Source organism: Homo sapiens, chromosome 9 (assembly GCF_000001405.40).
Source record: "Homo sapiens chromosome 9, GRCh38.p14 Primary Assembly".
Classification (NCBI taxonomy): domain Eukaryota; kingdom Metazoa; phylum Chordata; class Mammalia; order Primates; family Hominidae; genus Homo; species Homo sapiens.
The window spans coordinates 7,081,362-7,104,575 of NC_000009.12; the positions used below are offsets into that span (position 1 = coordinate 7,081,362).

Below are 23,214 nucleotides of genomic sequence, written 5' to 3' on the forward strand. Positions count from 1 at the left end.
ATTTTATGATTTGGCAAGGCTGGCGTGCACAGAGCTTTAAATAACTTTAGGGAAGTATTCCTACCAGTGCCCCATCCAGCATACCAAACTCACCGTGTGTGAGGAACAGCAGAGGGAAGCCTGTGCTGTTGTCCTGCAGGTGAATGAGTGAAAATCATCTGATCTCACAGGTAGTGCTGCCCCATTGACTGAAAATGTCTCCAGTAGTGTGTTCCTGGCATTCCACTTTGAAGATGTTGGCAATCATAAATGCCAGAATCACACCTGGCATTTCTTTGGAAAAACATTAAACACCTCACGAGCCCAGAGCCTACAGGGATAATGGGGAAATCTGGAAGTACGATAATTACGCTGCATGAGGAAATGTTCGTGTTGATGAATCCTTGGGATTTCCACTATTTGCAAAGCATGTGTCTAAAGCCTTGGAGATGAGTTCAGAGGGGCTAATGGTAGAAGATAGACCAGGTGCTGGTACGGAAAGGCATGTATTACCTCCGAAATTCAAGGGACAGGATGAACATTATATATCTCTTGTGCTTGCTCCTTTAGAAATTGAATCAGAGCAGGAACCCAGAGAGCTAGTTGCCGGCTAATGGACTTTTTAGAAAGGTGTTTTGGTGGTCGATATCTAGATATCAGGTGTTTTCCACTTAGCCTGGCCTTTGCCCCTGTGAAAAGCATCATGGTGGCCCTGAGAACAAAGGCATCAAATAAATGCTTCTGAAACCACCTTCTCTAGAGATTCTGCCGTGCCTCCAGGACAAAGACTCTGACTTGTTTGTGTCACTACAGCCTCACATGGGGCCTGAGTTTATACTCAGGAAAGGCTTAAATTATGAATGAATCCTCCTGGAATGGGCATTAGAAGGTTTCTTTCCACCTTAGCCCACCAGAATGGTACAGAGAGACTCAGACCAGAAGGCCCATTAGGAATAATGTGTGTTCCACCTGAGTTTCGTTTCAGAATCTTTAGCAAGTGGGATTCAGCGGGAGTTACACAGAGAGCCCAAGCAGGCATAATACTGTGACCAAGGTAAGGCACTAGGGGTGAAGGCACCCCGTTAAGAATGATGCCACAAACCATCACTGGATTTTCCAGAGCCTTTCAGTTTGGGTCCTCACCAGGGCTGATGGTGGAAGGGATATGGCTTTTTCAGTAGCCTTATGCAGATACAGAGCTCTGATTGCTTCCCATCCGTGAGTCTCAGGGTGCCTTCATGGGGCTGCGGGCAGTCCTTTTCCTGTGAGAGTCTTGCTTTGTTCCCTCAGCTGGCATTTGTCTGCTGACTTGACACTTCATCTCAAGCCTACTGTGTTGTCACGCGTGGCTCCAAATCCCACACTGCTTTAGAGCTGCTTCCTTGAAGGCAGGAAGATCTACAGGGAATAAACAATGAAGCAGACAATTTTGTCAAGCATTTGCAGTAGCAAAACACAGAGCTGACAAAAGGGACTTATGCCTTTTGTTCAGTAGAATTAATAATCAAGTTGTATGCAAAAAAAAATTGTCAGATTTAGGAGAAATGATAAAATATAGTACCAAACATTAAGGACTTTTTCTTTGTTTACTATTGATATTAATAGCCATTGTTTATAGTTCAGCCTCCAGCAGGGATGGACCTGCAGTTTCTCTATTATCTATTTTTATGAAGTGCTTGCATTTTTTAAATTATTTATCGAATAAGTAGAGTTCTCTGTGTTCATAAGCCTGGATATACTCAACAGTTCAGGAACATTTCCTCCCCATTCTGAGTCAGTATTTCAAGTCACACACATAGACCCATATACACATTGAGGTTGAGTATCTCTTATCCAAAATTCTTGTTACCAGAAGTGTTTCAGATTTTGGATTTTGTAATACTTGCATTATATACTTACTGGTTGATTGTTCCTAATCTGTAAATCTAAGATCTGAAATACTCCAATGGGCATTTCTGTTGAGTGTTTTGTTGGCATTCAAAAATTTCAAACTTTGGAACATTTTGGACTTTGAACTTTTGGATTAGATATATTCAGTGTGCATTGCTTAACAATGGGGATGCATTCTGAGAAGTGCATCATTACGCAGTTTTGTCTGTGTGCAAACATAGAGTGTGCCTATGCAAACCTTGATGGCATAGACTACTACACATCTAGGCTATATGGTATAGCCTATTGCTCCTAGCCTTCATGGGGCTGCTACAGCATGCTATTGTACTGAGTATGGTAGGCAGTTATAACACAATGCTAAGTACTTGTATATCTAAACATAGAAAAGATATAGCCAAAATTAGGTATTACAATCTTATGGGACCACCATGGGATATGCCATTTGTCATTGACTGAAACGTCCCATGTAGCACATGACTGATGTGTGTGTGTGTGTGTGTGTGTGTGTGTGTGTGTGTCAAGGTGATTGCATTGTTTAAACAGTAAAATTGTTGGATAGATTATGTTCCTTCCCTATCATCACTTCTTTCAAAGGTAAGATAGAAGAGGTTGTGTCCACTGTAACTCTGTGAGAATTTGATTTGAATTCCTCAACGGGGATTTTTCATTTGGGCAAAGATCCTATGAGTAAAAACATTATATAGAGAGAGGACAAAAAAGCTATGGAGAATTATAGTGTGCAGGGCAGAGTTACTCAAATTATCATCTTTGGATCCTTGTAATCAAATGCTGAGGGCAGTCAAGGCTCTGGGTAACCTAGTGTTTGCTGTCTTAGAACATTTTAGTGAAAATAAGGAATTTAATGGCGTTAGTTTCTTGCTTCTAACTGTGCTGGGGAGCTTAGGAAGAAAAGATCATGAGCTCTGGGCTTCTAACTTAACACAGGTGTTGACGACCTGTGCCACTACTCAGCTGAAGCTTTCGGAGCCACTACATGGTGCCACCATCTCTCTTTGTTTTCCCATTTGTGAGAATGGCATAGTTCATATAGGGGCTGCTCTCTCAGCCTGGGTCCTAGCTTAAGCAAGACCTGGAGCAGAGCCACAACCAAGATTCAACATGAGCAAGACAAACGTTTTGTTAGCCACTGTGGTGTTAGAGATGATTGTTACTGGAACATGAATGATAGATAGTCTATTATGAAGTGCTTTTAGAAAATGCCCACATAGTGCCCTAGAATAGGGTCCATTATGTTAATAGGCCTTCTCCTTAATAACTTTCAAAGCATTGATTATGGCTTTGTGTAGGTCTGCATGACTATTCATAAGGCTGCTATCATCAATGATTCCCAGTGCTACATTGTATATATTTTAAACAATCCGTCCATTTAGGAGCTGCATGATCTTAGTGTAGTTTTTGAACTGCTCTGTGGCTCAGTTTCTTCATCTGTAACACAGTAATAATACTATTGCTTACCTCAATGAATGGAACATGTAATACCCTCAAAGCAATATCTGACATGTAGTTGATTATTTTCATTAAGTTTATCTACAAATATTGAATGGGCACTTACCATGTTCCAGTTCCTGAGCAGTTCCTTATAAAGATGAACAAGAACATATGGGTTCAAGTGTTCTTGGGCCTCATAGATCTATGAAGAGAGATACGTTAAACAAATGATTAGTTATGAAGAAGTGTTGTGCCATGAGAGTGCCCATCAGGGGGCCTGGCCTAATTTGGAGGGTCAAGAGTGGATGGCTCTGAAGGAATGACATTTAAGAACTAAAAGATCAGTAGGTGTGGCCAAGATGAAGGTAAGGTTGGGAAAACAGTTACCCAGGTAAAGGAAGGGTGTATTCGAGGACCCTGAGGTGGAAAGGCACTCAGCACAGCAGAGTACTGAGAGATGGCCAGAGTGGCAAGGCAGAATGAAACCAGGAAGGGGCATTGGAGCCCTGTGGCAGAGGAGGAGCACACTGGGCTTTGAAGGGGCATATTTGGCTCAGGGCCATTGTTGTGTGGCAGTGAGTAAACACTTCTTCGGACCTCAGTTTCTTCATCTCTAAAACAAATGATTTTTTTTCAGTTGCAGAATTCCCATTCTAAGATTTTTCTTGCTTTTTCTTTTTCCTTGTTTCAAAGAGCCAGTGTGCTGTGCCAAAAGTTGTTTCTAATAAAATCTAATTGTTTAGAGAGAACTATGAGGAACAACAAAGAGGGAGAAAAACAGGCTTTTTTCAGGTCTGTTGGTTAACCTGACTTTTACACTGTAAAATACGGGGTCATGATGGCTGACCCTGGAACAGCTCTGGTCTAGGATGACATTTAATTTTGCTTGAGGATGGCATCATATTGAAACCTGTGAGAGGAAGGCTGGTGTTTAGGTTTATGGTTCCTGCCACTCCTTCCCTGCTCATAGGAGCGAGAGGGTTTTTTTATATTTTAATTTATTTTTTCTGTTGTTATGTTTATCTTCTCAGACTGCGTGGTGGGATAATCTGAGCATTTATAGAAAACGGAGCTCCCCACTGGGCCTATGCGTTAACCCCTCCTGAAGTGAATGGAGCATGCAGTCTCAGAGGAACTTAGATATTTTTTCCCTTTTTCTTTCTTTTTTATTTTTCATTAAAAAAAAAATTATTGGGCCAGGTGCGGTGGCTCATGCCTGTAATCCCAGCACTTTGGGAGGCCGAGGCAGGTGGATCGCCTGAAGTCAGGAGTTCGAGACCAGCCTGGCCAACATGGCAAAATCCCGTGTCTACTAAAAATGCAAAAACATTAGCCAGGCATAGTGGCATGCGCCTGTAGTCCCAGCTACTCGGGAGGCTGAGGCAGGAGAATTGCTTGAACCCAGGAGGCGGAGGTTGCAGTGAGCCGAGATCATGCCACTGCACTCCAGCCTGAGCGACAGAGCCAGACCCCGTCTCAAAAAAAACAAAAACAGTTATTCTTTTCCAGCATATTTGATCCTAGAGCAAACAGGAATTTTTTAATATCATCTAAAATTGGTAGATATTTCTGTATTTTATAACTCCACTGGCCCTAATTATGAATTTCTGAGTTAGGCCAAACAGCATTTTTGTGTGTCCCCTCTCATATACAGTGATTGCCGCAACACCAGCATCGGAATAGTTATTACTCTGTTGAGTAAATATGCCGTCTGTCACAGAGGCAAGTAATCATCCACACTTTATGCTGTGTTTCTCAATGGGATCTTTTTTAGAAAGGTGAGGCTTGTGAGAAATGGGTGAGTCCACATTGGAATAGGCTTGCTCTAAGAGAGACGCCCACCCTCATTCTCAGTTCCAGTCCATCTGCTCCTCCTACCACACTGCCCTTAGGTAAGTGCTGTGCTGGGCACCACCCTGTTCAGCCTTTGATCCTGTCTGGATTGCCTTGAGTGTGTTCTCTGGCCTTTGATTTTCTCCTCAGATAACTGCTACGGGGTTACCAGCAGATTCCTGAGATCATGGACTATGCATGCAGGATCATCTGGCCGGGGTCTTCCAGCTGATACATACACACACCCATGTACCCTTTATAAAGACAGTTACAAGGACAGTTCTTTTCTATATCCCAACTCTCAAACATACTTTTTTCTAAAGTTGATCTGCCTGAGAGCCAGCCTGCAGTCTGCAGGGTCTCCTGTCCCCTCTCCTTCACAGAGTGGGGCAGACAGTTGGTCTTTCTGCCATCTATCTGTGATCCTCCATGCGTCTCTGAGCTCACCGTTGTACTCTGCCCTGTGGTTGAAGACCTCTGGCATGCCAGATGCAAAATACTGGCTCTCATAAAGCTGGAAAAGGGAATGAATCAAGTAGGTGGACAACAAGACTTTTTATTGCAACTTACGTGGCTCTTTTTTTTTTTTTCACTTTTGACAGAATTAAAGGAGTACCCAAATGATGTCAGCTGATACACAGTGATGGGTTCTGACCAGCGTGCGTTTAGGCATATAACTCAGAAAGAGTTCGCATATAACTCAGAAAGAGACATTACTGCAACAAAACCCCTCAAATCCCATTTAGTTTTTAATATGAAGGCTTTTTTTTTTGAAAAAAGAAAAATATAATTAAAATGACACAGAAACATGCCTTAACTCCAGCAGTCTGTAACATACATTCATAAAATAATTTTTAAAGGCTTCATCTATCTGAGATACATTTCCAATAAAAATATACTTTTTTCTTTAATAATTACCAATGTTATAGTACATGTGTAGCTTTGATCAGTTATAAACTGAAAATAAGTATAATAGCCAAACTAGAGGTTTTTTAAAACTTAGAGTCTTGTCATAGGAAATTTTTTAAAAAAATTAAACTTCAATTAATATGCATATTTTTGTTAAAGAGGATTATGGTACAGTGATAACTAAAAGAGTTTCAGGCATAAAATTATCTTACATTCAGTTAAAATTCTGGAGGGAAAGTGGAATAGGAGTAATATAAATTTAAAGGGAATAAGGAATGCTACAAAACGTGAAAGAAGAGCCTGTTCTTTTATTTGTTAAATGGATGATGGAGTTATCAAATGACAATGGTATTTAGAGATACATGTTTTATTTCTAAATGTCAATATTTAATCCACAAGAAGTATAGCTTCTACAATTATTTAAACTTATGATGAGAAATTTTGTGTCCACTTAAAATTGTGTGAGAGGGCACGTAGTTTTTCAAAATTCTATCTACATCCAGTTTATGGAGAACGCCGATTTGTAATCTTACAGTGATTTTTAAATGTGGCTTTGCACTAGAATTGCTTTGAGGTACTACTTATCAAAAATACAGATTTCTGGGCTCCCACTTAGATCTATGAATCAGAACTTCTGGTGGCGGGGCAGAGATGGACAGTGTCTTTAGCAGGATTCTCTGATTCCTCGTGATTTTGGTGCAACCAATCCTGAGAGCAGTGTTTGGCTCCCCCGTATCCACTTGCTTCTTCCTCCAGGCCTGGAGGCCCTGCTTTGTCTGCCTCGGAAGGACCCTTAAAGTGGGCAGGAGCCATGGGGCCAAAAGTACTCGTTGATATGAACCCTGGAATGGGACCTAGGAGAAATGCTGTTTTGTTCATTCACATTTAAGGGAGCATCACATTCTCTCTTTAATCCAGCTCTTGTTGTCTTATCCTAAAATGTGGCATTTTTAAACTCTCCTTTAAGAAATTACAGTTCTTTATTACATTTTTCTATACTAGTATTGACCCACAATCTGCTTAGGATCACTCAAAAACATTGATTTCAAAACTATTTGACTTCTAAAATTTGAGTCTGTTAAAATTCAGAAGTAGTCCATGATTTGTAGCCAGCTTTCTGGATCTTTTAATGATAAAATATTCCTTCAACATATGAGGGGTGGCTATTATTAGATAATATGCAATCGTCTGAAAGGTTTGTCTTAATGGATTACATTTGCTACATATTACAGGAGGTGCATTGTCTTCCTGTATTCCGTATGTGAGAGATTTGTCGCCATTTCCTGTGTCTCAACAAGATAAATGAACTAATTTAAAATATTTTCCATGCCTCATCTGTCCACTCCACAAGCTGTCAATGGGCTTGGATTGGAAGCTTGCATGCCAGCAGTCCTGAGCCAGGAGTACTGTTATTTTGGAAAAAAAAGAAAAAGAAAAAAAAAAGCTGTTTCCATAGCAGCTTGGAACTCCTTTGCAAGTGTGCTTTCACATTTTTGTAGGATCTGGTAAGAAAGCCGATATTTTGTCCAGCTTTCTTAAAGCACATTTGCCTGACTTAAATGAAATCATTACTTTTTAAAAATTGAAGTGGTGGGGGAAAATTTTCAAGAATTGATGAGAAAAAAAATCGAGATGAGTTAAAAAACAAAACAGGAAGGAAAAAGAAAAATATTAGAGCTGCTAAAATTTGGAATTATAAAAATCAAAATTGGAAAGTGCCATTTTTTTCTAGGTAAATGTTTCTAATTTACCATGTTTTAATGTATTTTGTGGGTTGAATAACGTAAAAAAATCAAATTGTAGAATCCTCACAGGTGTATTTTATTTTATTTTTTTTGCAGTCACTTGAAGTCATCATATGTTCCTCCATAGCACATGTAAGGGAAAAATTATATACAGAGCACCATAGTGGCACACAACTTTGAGGCATTTTCATCTTTTGCAGCAGGATCGAGTTCTTCACAGTATTGACTCAGTGGTATTTGTAGGGAGGCAGAGCAAAGGAAATAATAAGTTGGAAAGCATTTTTACTGTTAGACGGGTTCCTTTTGGATTTTCTGAATTTTTCTACTTAATAATACATTTTAATGAGTCTTTGGGGGAAGTCATAACTTCACTTCACTGCTTATCGCTGCAGCCTGCTCACATGACACAATACTCTTGTGAGGTATAATATGAAAATCATCTCTGGTTAAAAGTGGATTTTGGCTTTTAGCCTAATACCGAGCAAATAACCTTTCCAGTCCAAGTTACATGTTCCCATAAACTCCTTAAAACCAAATTTTCCTTGCTTAAAAAAAGTCACTGCATGTAATTCCCAAAGGGTGGGGGTATGGAAGCACTTTAAATTAGACTTAAAAAAACCCAGAAAAACAAAACCTTGCCATATTTTGCTGGCTCGGCCTTTCCTTTGCTCAGATTTGGTGGGTGCTGCTTTGCTAGAGTCATGAGAGGTCAGAGTTCTCATGAGGGATTTTGAATGGCCGTCAGCTGGGTTCCATTCCTAAGCTTGAACTGTGGCTTAAAGCAGAATGCAGCTGCCTGCCTGCCCATGCCAGTGCATCTTCCCTGGGGAATCACTGCAGAATCCCCCAAGCCTCCTCTTTGTACTTGATTGTGACCTTGTTGCTGTCCAATGCTTGAAACCCCCAGCCCTTCCAGCTCCCTCATTACACAGAGCTAGGCTTTCTGTGGTTTCCCCAGTAGGTCAGCCTTAAGGTAGATGAAAATTTGATAGATGCACTTATAACCTCTTCAGAGCTTCCTGTTGGAACTTGACAAGCAGATTCTTTCTCCTAAATATTTTGACACACAGCCTTTAAAATGACATTTACCTCTTCTAGGACCATTTTTGACAGTAGCTTGTAGTAGATTTATTTTTATTTTATTTGAAAACATCATTTGGGGTTTTGTAGAAAAAAATAAAATATTTATCTCCACAGCTTGTTATCAGCAGGGAGGGTAGGCATTCTTGGAGGGATGGGAGGTTTATTGGTAGAAAGATTCAAGAAGCTATTTTGTGATAAAGGATTTCTTTGCACTTTTTCCTCTAGTCAAGTAAATTGCTTGTGGGTTCTTGCTAAAAAAAAATAATTCCTCTGGTGCTACTTTTAATTTGGTCAGGTTTAAAATGTTTTCAGAAGGGTTAAGCTTCCTTTGCATTAGTGCCTGGTGTGGTCAAATGAAGGAATGACTTTGGAATGGACTGCTTGTGTTTATAAATGACCTCCCCATAGAAGGTTCAGAACTGCAGAATAGTCAAAACCGTAACACTATTTCTACATGTCTGTTAGATGTGTGGTGTCTCCTCCTTCCCTCAGCAGGTATAGTTTTCTAGGCATGTTTATCTTTGACTCACGTTGTAAGAATATATGTTTCCTGTGATATGTCCAGTGTGTCCAGCTGTCACTTTCAAAAATAGGCACACACCAGAATATCAATCCATTGTTATGATTTCTCATATGTGACTACTGAGAACTGTACTTTTCTTGCAAGGGGAAGAATGAATTGTACATCCTATTCATGTCCATTATGTGTTTACAAGTGAAACTATTAATACTAGTGGAGCATGGATGCATTTTATGGGCAGGTGGGCCAGGTTGTGAAAACACCATTATAAAGCCTAAAATTTGAGGAAAACCCCCCCAAAACCTCCATTGCTTGGGGGCTCTATTTTTAATCTGATCTTCTGTTGAGTTCATGAATATTTCAAATGAACCTGACCAGGTGACTCTTTCTTTCGAGGCTCTCAGATGGTTTTCAATGGAAACTTTCTTTTGTCACTGTCATGAGATTGGCTTTAACCCAGTACAAGTCTAGAGTGGAGGTCTGAATTCACTTGGGAGAGAGGTAAAAACTGTGGAAGATTTTGGCAAACTGGATAAACATAGGCAATAAAAGAAAAAAAAAAAGATTTCGGCAAACTTCACACAAGTCTAGTAATAGAGTACAATACTTTTTCCACTCCACTACTATAGAATTTTTTTTCACTAAAACACTTTATACTTAAAATCATTTAAAGAAAGAGTTTTTCCCTCTAGGAAAAGGCAGAAATACACATCCCCTATACTTTAAGAAATATATTTGGGCACAGATGTCTAGTTTCTTATCTTTTGTTGAGAGTTAGACAGATGTGTGATTTTAGTGAATGTATTTATAAAAAAATAATTTACTAAACATGGCTACAAGAACAAAATACTTCAAAGTCCTGGCTGAAAACCCTGAATCTGACAAGGATTTTTTTTCTTTCCATAAAAATAAATCTGAGAAACATAGACTGAGAATATTGAGTTAAGCCTTGGCCATCACACTTGCCATGAAAATGGGAAGCAAGGGTTGAAGAACGAGCACATCAGCCTGCGACTGGGAAGACATGGGCAGGAAAAGTCACATGGTGCTGAGGCAGGCCTGACCAGGGAACCTGGTAGAGATTAGATTGAGAAGAAGGAAGAAGAGTTGGTGATGCTTGTCCTGACACAGGTCTCAGACCCTGGGCTCAGCACATGCTTCTCTGCGCTGTTTCCTGAAGTGTTATTTGTTTAACGTCCCTTACTTTTTGTCTCTTTTTCATATATACCCCTGATAACTGGGGTGATCTGATTTTTTTGTCCCATGTGGATCTTATACCCAAGCTCTTTGGCCTTTTGCATTGGCAAACTGAAAAGAACTGATGTATTATTACATTCTGCTGTTTCTTTTTTCTTCTTCTTCTTCATCCTTGAAAGAAAATAGTAGGAATGACCGTGTTTGTGATGCCTCTTTTTGTTTATAGAGCACTTCTGTATCCATTATTCCATTAATCACCACAGTAATCCTCTGAAGTACAGCTGTGGAACCTGAGGCTCAGAGGGACATGGTAACCTGCATCTTAGTGGGAGAGCTGGGACTCCTATGCACTCTCCTTTACTCTGCCAGGTGGGGGTAAGGGTATTGAGTTAGCCTGAAAATCTGCTTTGATGGCAGTATCATGAACCGCAAGTGTTACCTTTATTACAAAAAACTAGAGGCCTTGAACTCTTCTTTCTCTGTCCTCATTTTGCATTAATCTGACCAGGGCTGTTTGGATAGGATTCCAGAGAAATATGTTTCTCTTCATAATTTATCATTGAAAACTACCACTTTGGCCTCACAGTTGAAGCAGTAAAATATATATGTAGCTACACTTAGAGGCACTTTGTCTTTTACTGCCGTGAAGCTTGCTGGGCACTTCTTCTGTGGGCTTCTTATTGATACATAGGCACCCATAGAGAAATGGAGGTGCAGGAATTCCAGGATGGACTGGGTAATCTTCATCTTTCACAAAAGTCCTGGAGGTGATAGAAGACCACACTTTAGTTGTATGATTGCCAGTGAGCCAGAACATAAGCGGTACACGTCTTTTAGAGTATGAACGTGTTCTTGCACACATCTGCTTGGGTAACTGACTGTTCTGTTTGAAGAGATCTCACAGAAATGGAATTTTTAAATATTGAGAAGATTCCATTAAGAAATAGAGGGAGAATGGAAAGTGCATTATAAAAGCCATGCCAAGAATAGGTAAAGTGTGGCCTAGCATCCACAAAATATTTACTTTTAATTGAACTTTTAGAAGTTAACGTTCTCACTCTTTGGCTAAAGAGTTAATTGCTGGGCTTGTCCAATATCTGTTTGGAGTCAGTCATCCAATTTTTCATGACAGAAAAAGAACATTTTAGGTAATGTAGATGGGGTGGTGTTACTTCCATGAAGAAAATGTGCATGTTTGAATTTACCTTACTCCTCTGTTGTGGCCACCCCTCTTTTGAGGACCTGTTAATGGCTAACAGGAAACACAGGAAAATGAAGGGTGGAGCATGGTGTTGTTGATTCATTGTGAGAGTGAATCTGCCAGTTCTGAGTCTGAAACAATACGACGAATAAAATAGCTCTAAAGATAATCAGGGTTTATGCTCCATCTTTTTTCATTATTATTATAAAAATAATAAAATAACAACACGAAAAAAGAAAACGGAAAACTCAAGCCTCCCCTAATTACACCATGATGTTCTTCATTTTTGCTTATTCATTTTATCTCTGTTCACATGTGTGCGTGGTTATTGTTACTGTATTCATGTAACTTATAATCCAGGCTTCTCACTTGGCATTGGATGGTCCGCATTTTTCATTGTTCTTCATCTGGGTTTTTTTGTGTGTGTGTCCTGGACTCCTTTGGCAGTTTTTGGTAAAGCGTATGGACCTCTTGTCAGAAAAATACTTTTTAGTATTTAAAATATACAGGATTACAGAGGAGACAATTTTGTTAAAGTACAGTTATTAAAATACTATAAACATCAGTTTGTACTATAGCAATCTATTAATGCATTAAGTACTTAGTTGTATAATGTCTAAGTAATTATAAGCATAAATATTTTGAAACTGTCTCTGGATCTGAAGGTAGAGGGGAGGGAAGTTGAGGAATTTCATTCCCCGTGACTGGTATTATCTAGGTGAAGGAAGAGGCACGACTGTCTTTAGAATGTGAGGACTTTGGTTCTGGTTGAAGAGAGGTAATGTTTTAAAACAGATTTATTGAAGGATAAGGGTAGCATTATTTACCTTTTACTGTGTATCAGGTACTGTGCTAAACCTCTTACGTATGCTATCTTTTTAAGGGCAGCTTCATGAGGAATAGGTGCTGTTACCATCTTTACCTATCCAGTGAAGCAACTAAGCTTGGAGAAGTGACCCATTGTTCTAATCACAAATAGATCACTGCAGAAATATTGACCATTTACTTGTCCTCAAAGGAAGTCGGCCTGAATAATCCGGAAGCAGTATCCTGATGAGTAATACAGTGCAAAGCCACATGGTGGCAGGGTTAGGATTCAGGCTTTAACAGTGCCTGTTTTACTACCTTTTGTCCATTCCTTAAGTTGGGAAAGGTAAAAGGAATTTCTTTTTTTTTATTTTATTTTATTATTATTATACTTTAAGTTTTAGGGTACATGTGCACAACAATGAGAACACATGGACACAGGAAGGGTAAAAGGAATTTCTAAGTGACCTTAAGGGCCACTTGAGATTGGAAACCCCAAATTTATCTCATCTAGAAGACGAATCTACAAACTCACTGCTGCGTGATTTTTCTCTTGTAGCAACCATCTGAGATACTTACGTAGGGGAAGGTGGTGGTTGGGGGCTACAGGAGAAGGGATGGGCTCTGGACTGGACAGCCAGTGTCCATGCGGAGGAACCCTATACTGAGTTAACTCTTCTCACAGCTGCAGTTGTCTCCCCTGAAAAGGTGCTTCCTCTGAAAGGTCACCCGGGACATGTCTGCACTGCATTGACTTTATAGCTTTTCATCACTGTTTCCTCAGTTTTATTTGGAGACACAGTGTGTGGGTATTTCAACTCAATCATAAATTTCCTCAATGTGGGCTGCTGCTAGCATAATTGAAAGACAAGAGGCAAAGAGGTTGTGGCAGGTCACAGACAGAACAATTCATGGGTGACAGTTTCTAATAAGGGTCAGATGCACTCAGGGGCCTTGGGATAGCTTCTGGTGTTCAGAAAAGGAAGACTACCCCAGCGTAGCAGCTTGTGTAGTTATCAAAGGAAAATGATGAGATCTTTTTATTGTTCCGTTTCCCAACCACTCTAACCAAGGTAAGTATATATAGCAGGAATATCTACAAAGGTTCATCTAAACTGTTAAAAAATGCCTGGGGGAAGTTGGACAGGATAGAGGTGCTTGAAACTCACTTGTGGGACACAATTTCTTCATTGCACATCCGTGAATCAGAGATACCTTTACTGTTCCACCCCGGTCCTCATAAATGCATGTGTTTCAGTAAACATACATGAAACAGAGATTTGAGGAACTATACACTACTCTCTGAAAAAACGTCAGCAAACCACAGCTGCAACCTTTCATGCTGTTGGATATTTGTACTGCCCAAGAACAAATCTTGCTAAGGATAATTAGTTCTTATTTTTGATTTATCCTGTTGTTTTTTTTCTCAGATACCTTTAGGCCTTCAGGCCCAAGGCCAAAAATGAATAGAAAATGTGTACTAGTCCTTGCTTCCATAATGCCAATAGCAAATCATACCTGATATTCATAATAAACAAAGATCTTTTTTTTTTTTTGCTTGTTCTTGGAGCAATAGAGAGCTTGTAAGCCAGCCTTCCTAAATTGTGCCATATGGGAAAATTATGTGTCCTTTAATTTAACTAATGTGAATTCAATCATTAAAATATTATAGTTTCCAACATTAATTCAGAGAGATCTAAAACTGGGTAAGTTGAATAGAGTTAAGGAGTTCTTCTAAGTAATAAGTAATTAAACGAATCTGGGTAGATTTTTATAGGGTGGAGAGCATACACATCAGTGACTCTAGCAGGGTACAGTTGTATCAGAAGGGACGGTGACTTTTGTTAACCAAATAATTCAGTAATTCTGAGTTCAACTAATAAATGCTTTATCCAATGAGAGTAAGGATTTGTGTAAACAGTAATTTCAAATAATGGAATTTCCTTTAGGAAATAGGTGCTCTTTAATACGAACATAAAAAGAAATAAAAATGCAAATACAGAAGTACTTAGAAAACACCTATTTTGTGGTTTAGGAGGCTTTCTTTCCCCACCCATCAGCTGAAAGATGTTTGGTGGCACTTAATAAGTATTCAGAATAAAGCTCTCTGTATGTTATAATTGTGTGCCCCTTTTGCCCTTTAAATTTGAAATAAAGGATGGAACCCAAACAGGCTATGAGAGAAATAAAAATGGTAAGTGATTGATTTTTTTTCAACATACATAACAATTGCTTATTTTGTGATTCATCAGCAAATGCTGCTGTGTGCTATCAGCGAAGTGCTTCTTTCAACATGAGATTGTAATGTTGCCTTTAATATTTAATTTCTTTGTAAATGCTGCTTTTATGTGTGCGTTTTCTGCACAGCACAGGTAGTTAAGTGCAGAGGGGAAGCACTATTTTCTGCTAAGAGGGGTCTAGGAAAAAAGGGCAGGAAGCATCCAGAGGCTGGCTTGTTTCACCCACAGCCTTCTCACCCGTTCACTTCTATCTGTTTGGGCCATGTTAGTTTTGCAGTTTCAGTGACTTGCCCTTATTCCTGTGCCAAGCTAGAATTCCCAACCAGGTCAGACTGTGAAGTCAGACAGACAACTATGAAATACTACATATTCCCTACCTGGGAGACTAGAGGAGTATGGCAGTTGGTCAAGGTACTCCCCAGACACTTAGCTCGTATACTGTGACAGGTGCCTTTAATAAAAAGGCAGCTTAGAATTCGTCCAACTGTAAAGGAGCAAAAGATGGACAAAGAGATGTGCCTGACCAACAGGCATTTCCACTAAAGATCATGCTGATTTTCTGGGTGGTCTGGTCTGTAGAATTGCTTGATTGCCTGAGGTTTAACCCAGAGCCCCTCAGAGAATTGTAATAAAATGGTAGTCCTAATTTCCACCTAAAAATTAGCTGCTACTACTAAGCGATCGTGAGTCTCTCACCTGGGCAAGTGAAGTTTGTGCCAGAGTACAGTCCAAGGCCTTTCAGGATCCCACCTTTTCAGCCTGCCATCCCTTGGCTGTGCTCCTACTTCCTGACTCCATTTTGCTCATGTTTTTTCACCTCTGAGCTTTATTACTTCCATCTAGAATGTTTTTCCTCCTTCTTCATCCCACTCCCACATGCAGTGGCTGAAGCCTGCTAGTCCTTCAGGGTAAGCTCACAGTCTACTTCTTCTTAGTGGCTTTCTTATTCCTTTAAAACCCTGCTGGGTAGCTTCTCTGAGCCATGAGGCAGGCCCTGGGTCCCTGTGGCTGCAGGCTCAGCCAGCGTGCAGCATGTCTGCCAATAAGCCTCCAGTGCAGAGTCTGATCTGGTGCTGACGCACTGCACATAGCATCTAAACTCCGAGAAATTAATTACAGAAAACTTTGAGAGAAACCCTGTTTTTGCTTTATTGTGCATTCTTGGGAGCCATCAGGTTGGAACTCATCCAGCTGTGTCTGGTCTCGGTAACTCTTGGCCTTCAGTTCAGAGTGGTGCAGAGGTGAGCTGCCTACACTCTCCTGCCACATCATGGGCTCCTCCATGACCTGAGTCATCAAAGTAGAGTCATACCTGCTTCCTTGTCCTGTATTTGGTGCCCCGCAGGTAGCTGTCATGAAGTTCATCCTCTCCTGCCCCTCTTCTAGATCTGCTCAGTAGAATGGTTTGAGGGCTGGGTGGAGGTAGGTAACCAGGTCAGGCTCACATGCTGCCTCGCCTTGCCCTGCCAGTCCAATCGTCTCTTAAATCTAGTAGTGCTTTATCTTTCCTATTGTGATTATGGCTGTAAAGCTTTTGTTATAGCTGTTTTTTATACCAAATTAAGTTCCTTAAATACAAGGATTGTATATCTTTTTCATTTTTTCATCTGCCTTTGCATTTTGCAAAATGATCTTACATAGAAGATATTTAGTAAGTATTGAAATGGGTGAAAGAATGAATTAATACATTATACGCATTAAGGGAACATTCATATGGTTAATGGCTGTTTATGTGTTCAGTCAGTGTTCTGCTACTTGGCTTAAAAGGTGCTTCCGCAAGGATTCTTACTTGATCTTCCTTGTAATGTATCTGTTGATCCAAAATAAAACAAAGTATGACTGTGCTGTTGGTGTAGTACTTTTCACAAATCATTTGTTAATTTGTCTGTTTGTGTCTGAAATGCCTTGGCCTTTCCAGTTCTAGAATTCTTTTGTGATTTTTATTTAACATTTTATCAGTGCCAACAGTGACTCATTAGCCTTATTTTGAATACATGTAACCTTATATCTGATCCCTGGCCACCTCTGTCCATTTTTTTTAGCTCTGTCTCTTGACCTAGCTGAGCTCATCCCACTGGCCTTTCCCTGCTACTTGACTTTTCTTAGCTTTCTCACCTTTTGCAGGGTGAATCTCACCAAACAAAAAGCCATGAGATAAATGGCTTCTGATACCTTATTTATGATAAGGATTTAATTCAACACACTTGGCATTATGAGCCATTTATTTTAATGCTCTGAACTTGGAGTGCATAAGAAATAACTTTTGGGGAAGAGAGACAGAGGACTTATCATGTTATGACCAGTTGCCCAAGTAAACAGGATTTGTTTTATCGTATCACTCATATGTGGGTGAGGCTGCATATTAATTGCTGCCTCTCACAAAACAGCCCAAACCCTGTGGTGTCAGTGCACTGGGGACTTTGCTTTTCAGTGTCCTCCATTTCCTTCCCTCCCCAGCCACTCTTTAGCTGACTAGATAAATTGATTTCTCTTTATTAATCTACTCTCTCTTCTCCTTCTGAATCTCACTCTCAAATGGCAGTTGTTCCATTCTGCATTTTATTGTGGCTAGACTATCCTCTTTACTGTAGAACTCAGACTTCCCCCAGTGCTAGCCAGTATTGACACATGAGTGATTGACTTAATGAATAATAATGAGCAGAACATAAATCTTACAGGTAGGGTTAAAAATCAAAGGATTCTATTACGAACCCTGTATTTAAGGACTTGGAGCAAACTGAAGGTTTTAGCCTCGATCCTCTGACTTGCCTGCAGCAATAGTGATGTCCGTTGAGCCAAACATTGTTCCCTGTTTGAGCTGGGAGTGTTAACTTGCTGTGTGGTGCTTAGAAAAAGTGTCCTTAGGGGGCAAAAGGAGAAAGAAATTAGCTAATGTATCATTATCATTAGCCTGTGACTTAATCAGGAAACAACAATTAAAAAGCATTCACACCTATTTTGGAATACCTGCCTGTTTGTGGAAGAAAAAAACATCATAAAACTAGCAAAACAAAACAATAAAAAATCAGAAATCATATTAACAGGAAAAAGGGGGAAGGAGATGTGCTTTGAACCTCCAGCTCCTTCACAGTTCATCATTTCTTGATGCCCTTTGCCAGGCTGGATGCTCAAGGAAATCTAATGATATACAAAGCCTCATTGCCAGATACTTCATTACTTCCTCAATCCATTAGTAGCCTTAATGGCCTATGCCACTGGAATAAGTATGGAAATCCAGTCCCCCAAGAAAGTACAGTGCTCTATAAATCACACCTGCCTGAGGATTCTCTCAGCCCTTGACACTGAAGAATAGGTGAAAAAAAATCATTGCACTTCCTTAACTCCCTTGTACTAGAAGCTGTCGGCATGAGTGACACCTTTTCACTTTTTAACCCTGTAGCCTCTTGGTTCTCAAAGTGTGAGCTGTGGATCAACAGTATCAGTATCACTGGGAACTTGTTAGAAATGCAAATTCAGTGGCCCCGCCAAGATGTGCTGGAATCCTGGGGCGGAAGAGAGCCACTTCTGTTCTTGTCATCAGCCTTGCCAGAACTGTCCTGTCAGAGATACCCACTAACAGCTTTTGGCTGGGTGATCAGCTCCCTGGAGTCCAGTGCTCTCTAACCTTCTTTCATTCCCCTCCCTGCAGAACATACACTTTTCAATTTTCAATTTTTTCAATTTTATTTTTTAATTTAATTTAATTTTTTATTTTTTAATATATATTTTTATACAGAAACTCCATTTATCTTGAGGAGTTTGGGGGTTGATTCAAGGTTTTTTCTACTTCCCTCTCTAGCCTTGACTCTCAGATGAGACAGGAGCTCTGCCCTGGCATATTATTTACTTTAATTTTCTAGTAATTCTCATGGCTTTATTCTGAAGGCAAAATCAAGGCCGGTTGTGGCGTGATGGCTCATGCCTGTAATCCCAACACTTTGGAAGGCCAAAGCAGGCAAATTGCTTGAGCTCAGGATTTTGAGCCTAGGCAGCATGGCAAAACCCTGTCTCTAATATAAAATTTACAAAGAATTGTCAGTGTCTCAGTAGGTTAGGGATACAGAAAACATTAACTAGCCTACCTAACCTACAGTAGTGTTTATCAAATCTCAGTATGCATAAAGATTTTTTTTTCCTTTTTTTGAGACAGAGTCTCACTCTGTTACCCAGGCTGGAGTGCAATGCCGTGATTTTGGCTTACTGCAACCTCTGCCTCCTGGGTTCAAGCGACTCTCCTGCCTCAGCCGCCCGAGTAGCTGGGATTACAGGTGCTCACCACAACTCCTGGCTAATTTTTGTATTTTTAGTAGAGATGGGGTTTTGCCGTGTTGGCCAGGCTGGTCTTGAACTCCTGACCTCAGGTGATCCACCTGCCTCAGCCTCCCAAAGTACTGGGATTATAGGCATGAGCCACCACTCTCAGCCTAAAGATCTTTAGAAACATCATGTTAAAAACATTCTGAGTGGCACTGTTTTTAAAATAATTACCTCATGTTGACCCAGGGTTTCTGCTGCTTTTAATTATGGATTCTTCCTTTTTTTCTTTCTTTTTTCTTTTCTTTTCTTTTCTTTTTTTTATTGTGGATACTTGGTTTGGGGTGGCTCTGAGGCTTTGGGGCTGAGAATTATTCTTACTCCTTTGGTATCCTTTGCCTAAAGGATATTCTTTGCCAAACACTTATTTTGCATTAGTTCTTATCTACTTTGGTTTCTCTGTTCGTTTAGTTCCACCTGTTTCCCATGGTCTAGGAATTCCATACATGTTCTGGTCCTCTGATGGCACTGTCTCTTGTTTGTCATTGCTGTTTTGGCTTCATCCTTTTTCCTATATAGTTACGTAGGGGTTGGGCCTGGATAGATGGTAGCAGGGATTGATCTTGATCCAGTTCGTCTTTGCTTTTCTTAAAGCTTTCTTCCCTCTGTTGTCCCCAGGCATGATTCATTAATTGTAGCATGCCTATTCATGTTATTCTAGTGCCAGGTAGCATTTCGTTCACTTCTTTCATAGCATGTATTTCGTTGTAACATTCTTAAGTGCACATAGATGTCTTTAACCTACTAGATTCCATTCTGTAGCCCAGGTATCTTTAGGCATCAAATTCCAGAGATTTTTCTGCCAGGGAGGAAAAAAAACCATTTTAGCAACAAACAAATGAAAATGGGGGTCTGAAATACTGCGTTAACTGTCTTACAGGATGCATTCGCAATGGCTCCCCTCATAGGTTTTATGGGGTTCTCTGTCTCTGCAAGAACCTGTGTGATGTTTAAGTGTTCTCAACTCTGAATAAACATCTTGCAAAGCATTGAGTTATAATAGTTTACTGTTAGGTTTACTTCCTAAGGAAACTGTGATTCTGTCCTTAGAAGTCCCCACTTCTGGTCCTCCTGGAATAGGGCAAGTCCCTCCTTAGGTTCCAAAGATTGAATCCTCTCTGGGCTTGAGTGTATTCTGTCTTCTTACGCCTTTTTAGTGAGTCTCAGTTTAATGAAGTTAATGGTGATGGAGGTTGGGAGATACCAATGCTTTAATTAGCTAAGTCACAACACTGTCCTACTCTTAAAAGATCTTAAGAAAATAAGACATAATTTCACCTTTCATATACCTGTCAATATCTTAACTTATTCAAACACTGACCTCTATGTTGTATAATTAGATTCTTGAAAGATTGAAAATGCCCGGGGCTCCTGATAGGAGTTTTTGCTTTTGTATCTGCCATCACATTTCAAATAATTGGAACTGACAAAAAGATACCAAAATACTAAAAATTACAAAAAATGTAATGAAACTGATAGCATGGATTGTCAAAGAGATACCAAGACAGAATATTAAATAATGCTCTTAGGCAGATTATGATGTCTTTTTAGTTTTATGGTTCTGTGTATTTGTGTGTGTATATATGTGTGTGATTTTTTAATCAGTTAAGCCACATCCTCAACCTCCACTTAAAAATGCTTAATTGTACATTGAATCTAGATGTATAAGGAAATCACATAAGTACCTAATGTATAGGGTCCTTATGGGGACTAGTGAGAAGTAACACTTAGACCATGAAGGGCCTTTTACAAACTTGGCTCTTGCACCTCATGGTTTTCCCTTTTTTTTTTTTTTTTTTTTTTTTGGAGTGACTTGGAGATAAAGAGAAACCTTTAATTATATGAAGGATATTAAGTACGATGGTGGTGACATGAGATTCGTGTTGTAAAGAATCACTCGGGCAGCTTTGGGGAAGACAAATGGAGATAGAATGAAATAAAGGATGGAGATACACATTGGGAATCCATTATGATGCTGGGCAAGACACCGTGGGCGGAGGCAGTGGCAGTTGGTATAGATGGTAGGCAGAGATCAGAGTAAGACTGAGGGACAGAATCTAAAAGATTAAGTCACCGATCAGATGTGAGGACACGAAGAGTTAGAAGTTAAATGCACATTGATTCTTGCACGTCTCTGATAAAATATTAGTCTTCAAAAGGGCTTGAGTTTAAGTACCTTTATTGTCCCAGAAAAGAAAATCTACCTATAAAAGAAGAGCACCAACATTTGATCAGATTTCAGATCCTTTTTACTCTTCAGAATGAAAATTTGAGCTTTTGATCATTGTTTCTTCTGCTTTCCAGACCTAACCCTATGTTTTTCCACAACCATTTTTTCCTAACCCTCAAGTATTAGTTCACAACTTACATTTAGTGAAGTTGTTTTTCTCTATCTCTCATAACAAATGTACTGATAATGTTTAGGGCTAATTGTATGCAATTTACTTTTCGAATTGTGGTAATCATTATTGCTGTTTTTATTTTCATCTTCTCTTCCCCAGGCATCATCAGCTATAGATATTCAACCAAATTATGCCCTTTGGGGTGATTTTCAATTTTCTCACTTTGGGAGGCATATTTTTTTTGTCAGTCATGAAGGGTTCAGATTTGGATTATTAAACGCTAGTTTCCACATTGGACCATTTAACACTTTACATTTCCTTGTCTTTGGAAAACTTAACTTGCCCCTATGCTGTTTGGGTGTTTTTGAAGACCACATCTAATTTAGGAAAGAATGACCTGTCCTCCAAACCCATATTCTACTTCTTGATGCACAGAAAGACCTGTCATGCAGGAGGGCAAAACAGAAGTAGCTTCAACATTCATGGATTATTTATAGGAGCACCTCTGGGGTCTTTTCCCGAGCTCTGTGCCTGCAGGAGTATGTGCGAAAGTGTTTGGCTTTCCTTGCTACAAGAAATAGTTAAACATATGTCTGGCAGTCTGTGACCGTAGCAGTGTGTTTCCTTTAAAGAAAGTAGATTACATTGCCACAGATGCTGTCACCACTAGGGCCCCTGGAGGGGTCAGGACTTGTTGATGTAATCAGTTGTTTTTTTTTTTTTTTCTTCTCTAGTAGCTATTGTTCTGTAAATTGTGGGAACTGACTGGGTTACAGAATGTGAATTGATGTTCTTCTCTGTTTTAACCTTCCAGAAATGCATCTTCTGCAGACACCGGGTTAAGAGGGTCTCTGGAGCCTGCATCCAGTGTTCCTACGGTCGCTGCCCGGCCTCCTTCCATGTCACTTGTGCCCATGCTGCTGGGGTACTGATGGAGCCTGATGACTGGCCTTATGTGGTGAACATTACATGCTTTCGACATAAGGTCAACCCCAACGTGGTAAGATGTGCCCTCCCTTCCTCAGTGCTAAGACCGTGTCTGGATTTTCTCCTGTTTTAGACTACCTCCCAGACATAATGTGCTTTATTCTGTAATATGACTCATTGTTGACATGTCTAGACCGTGAGTTCCTTGAGGGCAGGGATTGCGCACTGTTATTTCCTGGTATTTGCCTAGGACCTGTCAAGTGCCTGGTGCACGCTAGGCACAATAAATCTGTCTGAGTTGAATGAGTGAATGAACAGATGCATGCAGAAAACTCTCCATGCCTGTTCTGGTGTTGGATCTGTACACAGGGCTGCTGAGCTTGGTTGTACACATTGTGCACTGCACATATCCAGGATGAGAGTGAGACCATTTCTGCGAGGGGATCACCACCTGAGATTATGTAGTGAACAGTCTATGAAACTGTACACTGTGGTCTTGGGCTGTTATTTTATCTCCTTTAGAAGAAACAAAGAGCAGCAGCACAGTAAAGGAAGAGGTAGGATGGCCAGGAGCTTTTGGGACTTTGCTGCCTAAAATGGCATATGTGAGGGACAGCCTGGGGCCCTGGAAGGAGTGAGGATAATCTCATAGAAAAAAATAGAAAAGTAGAGGAGAAATATAGAGAACAATTTTTTTGAGCTTATTTCTGGGAAAAGTGTTTGCAACCAAATAATATGAATTTAGCCATATTTCTGTTGACCTGTCCTTGTCAAATGA

At 40.0% G+C, this 23,214-nt stretch overlaps 1 protein-coding gene across 18 annotated transcripts in view; it reads left to right on the forward strand.

Moving 5' to 3' along the window:
- KDM4C (lysine demethylase 4C) overlaps positions 1-23,214 on the forward strand; it is a 454,786-nt gene that overhangs the window by 360,499 nt on the left and 71,073 nt on the right. For all 18 annotated transcript variants that reach the window (NR_148680.3, NR_148679.3, NR_148677.3 and 15 more), the window contains one exon: positions 22,324-22,509. Coding sequence is in view for 13 of the 18 variants with exons in the window: in NM_001353999.3 (NP_001340928.1) it covers positions 22,324-22,509 (186 nt within the window). In the remaining 5 variants the exon portion in view is untranslated. The remainder of the gene's footprint in view (positions 1-22,323; positions 22,510-23,214) is intronic.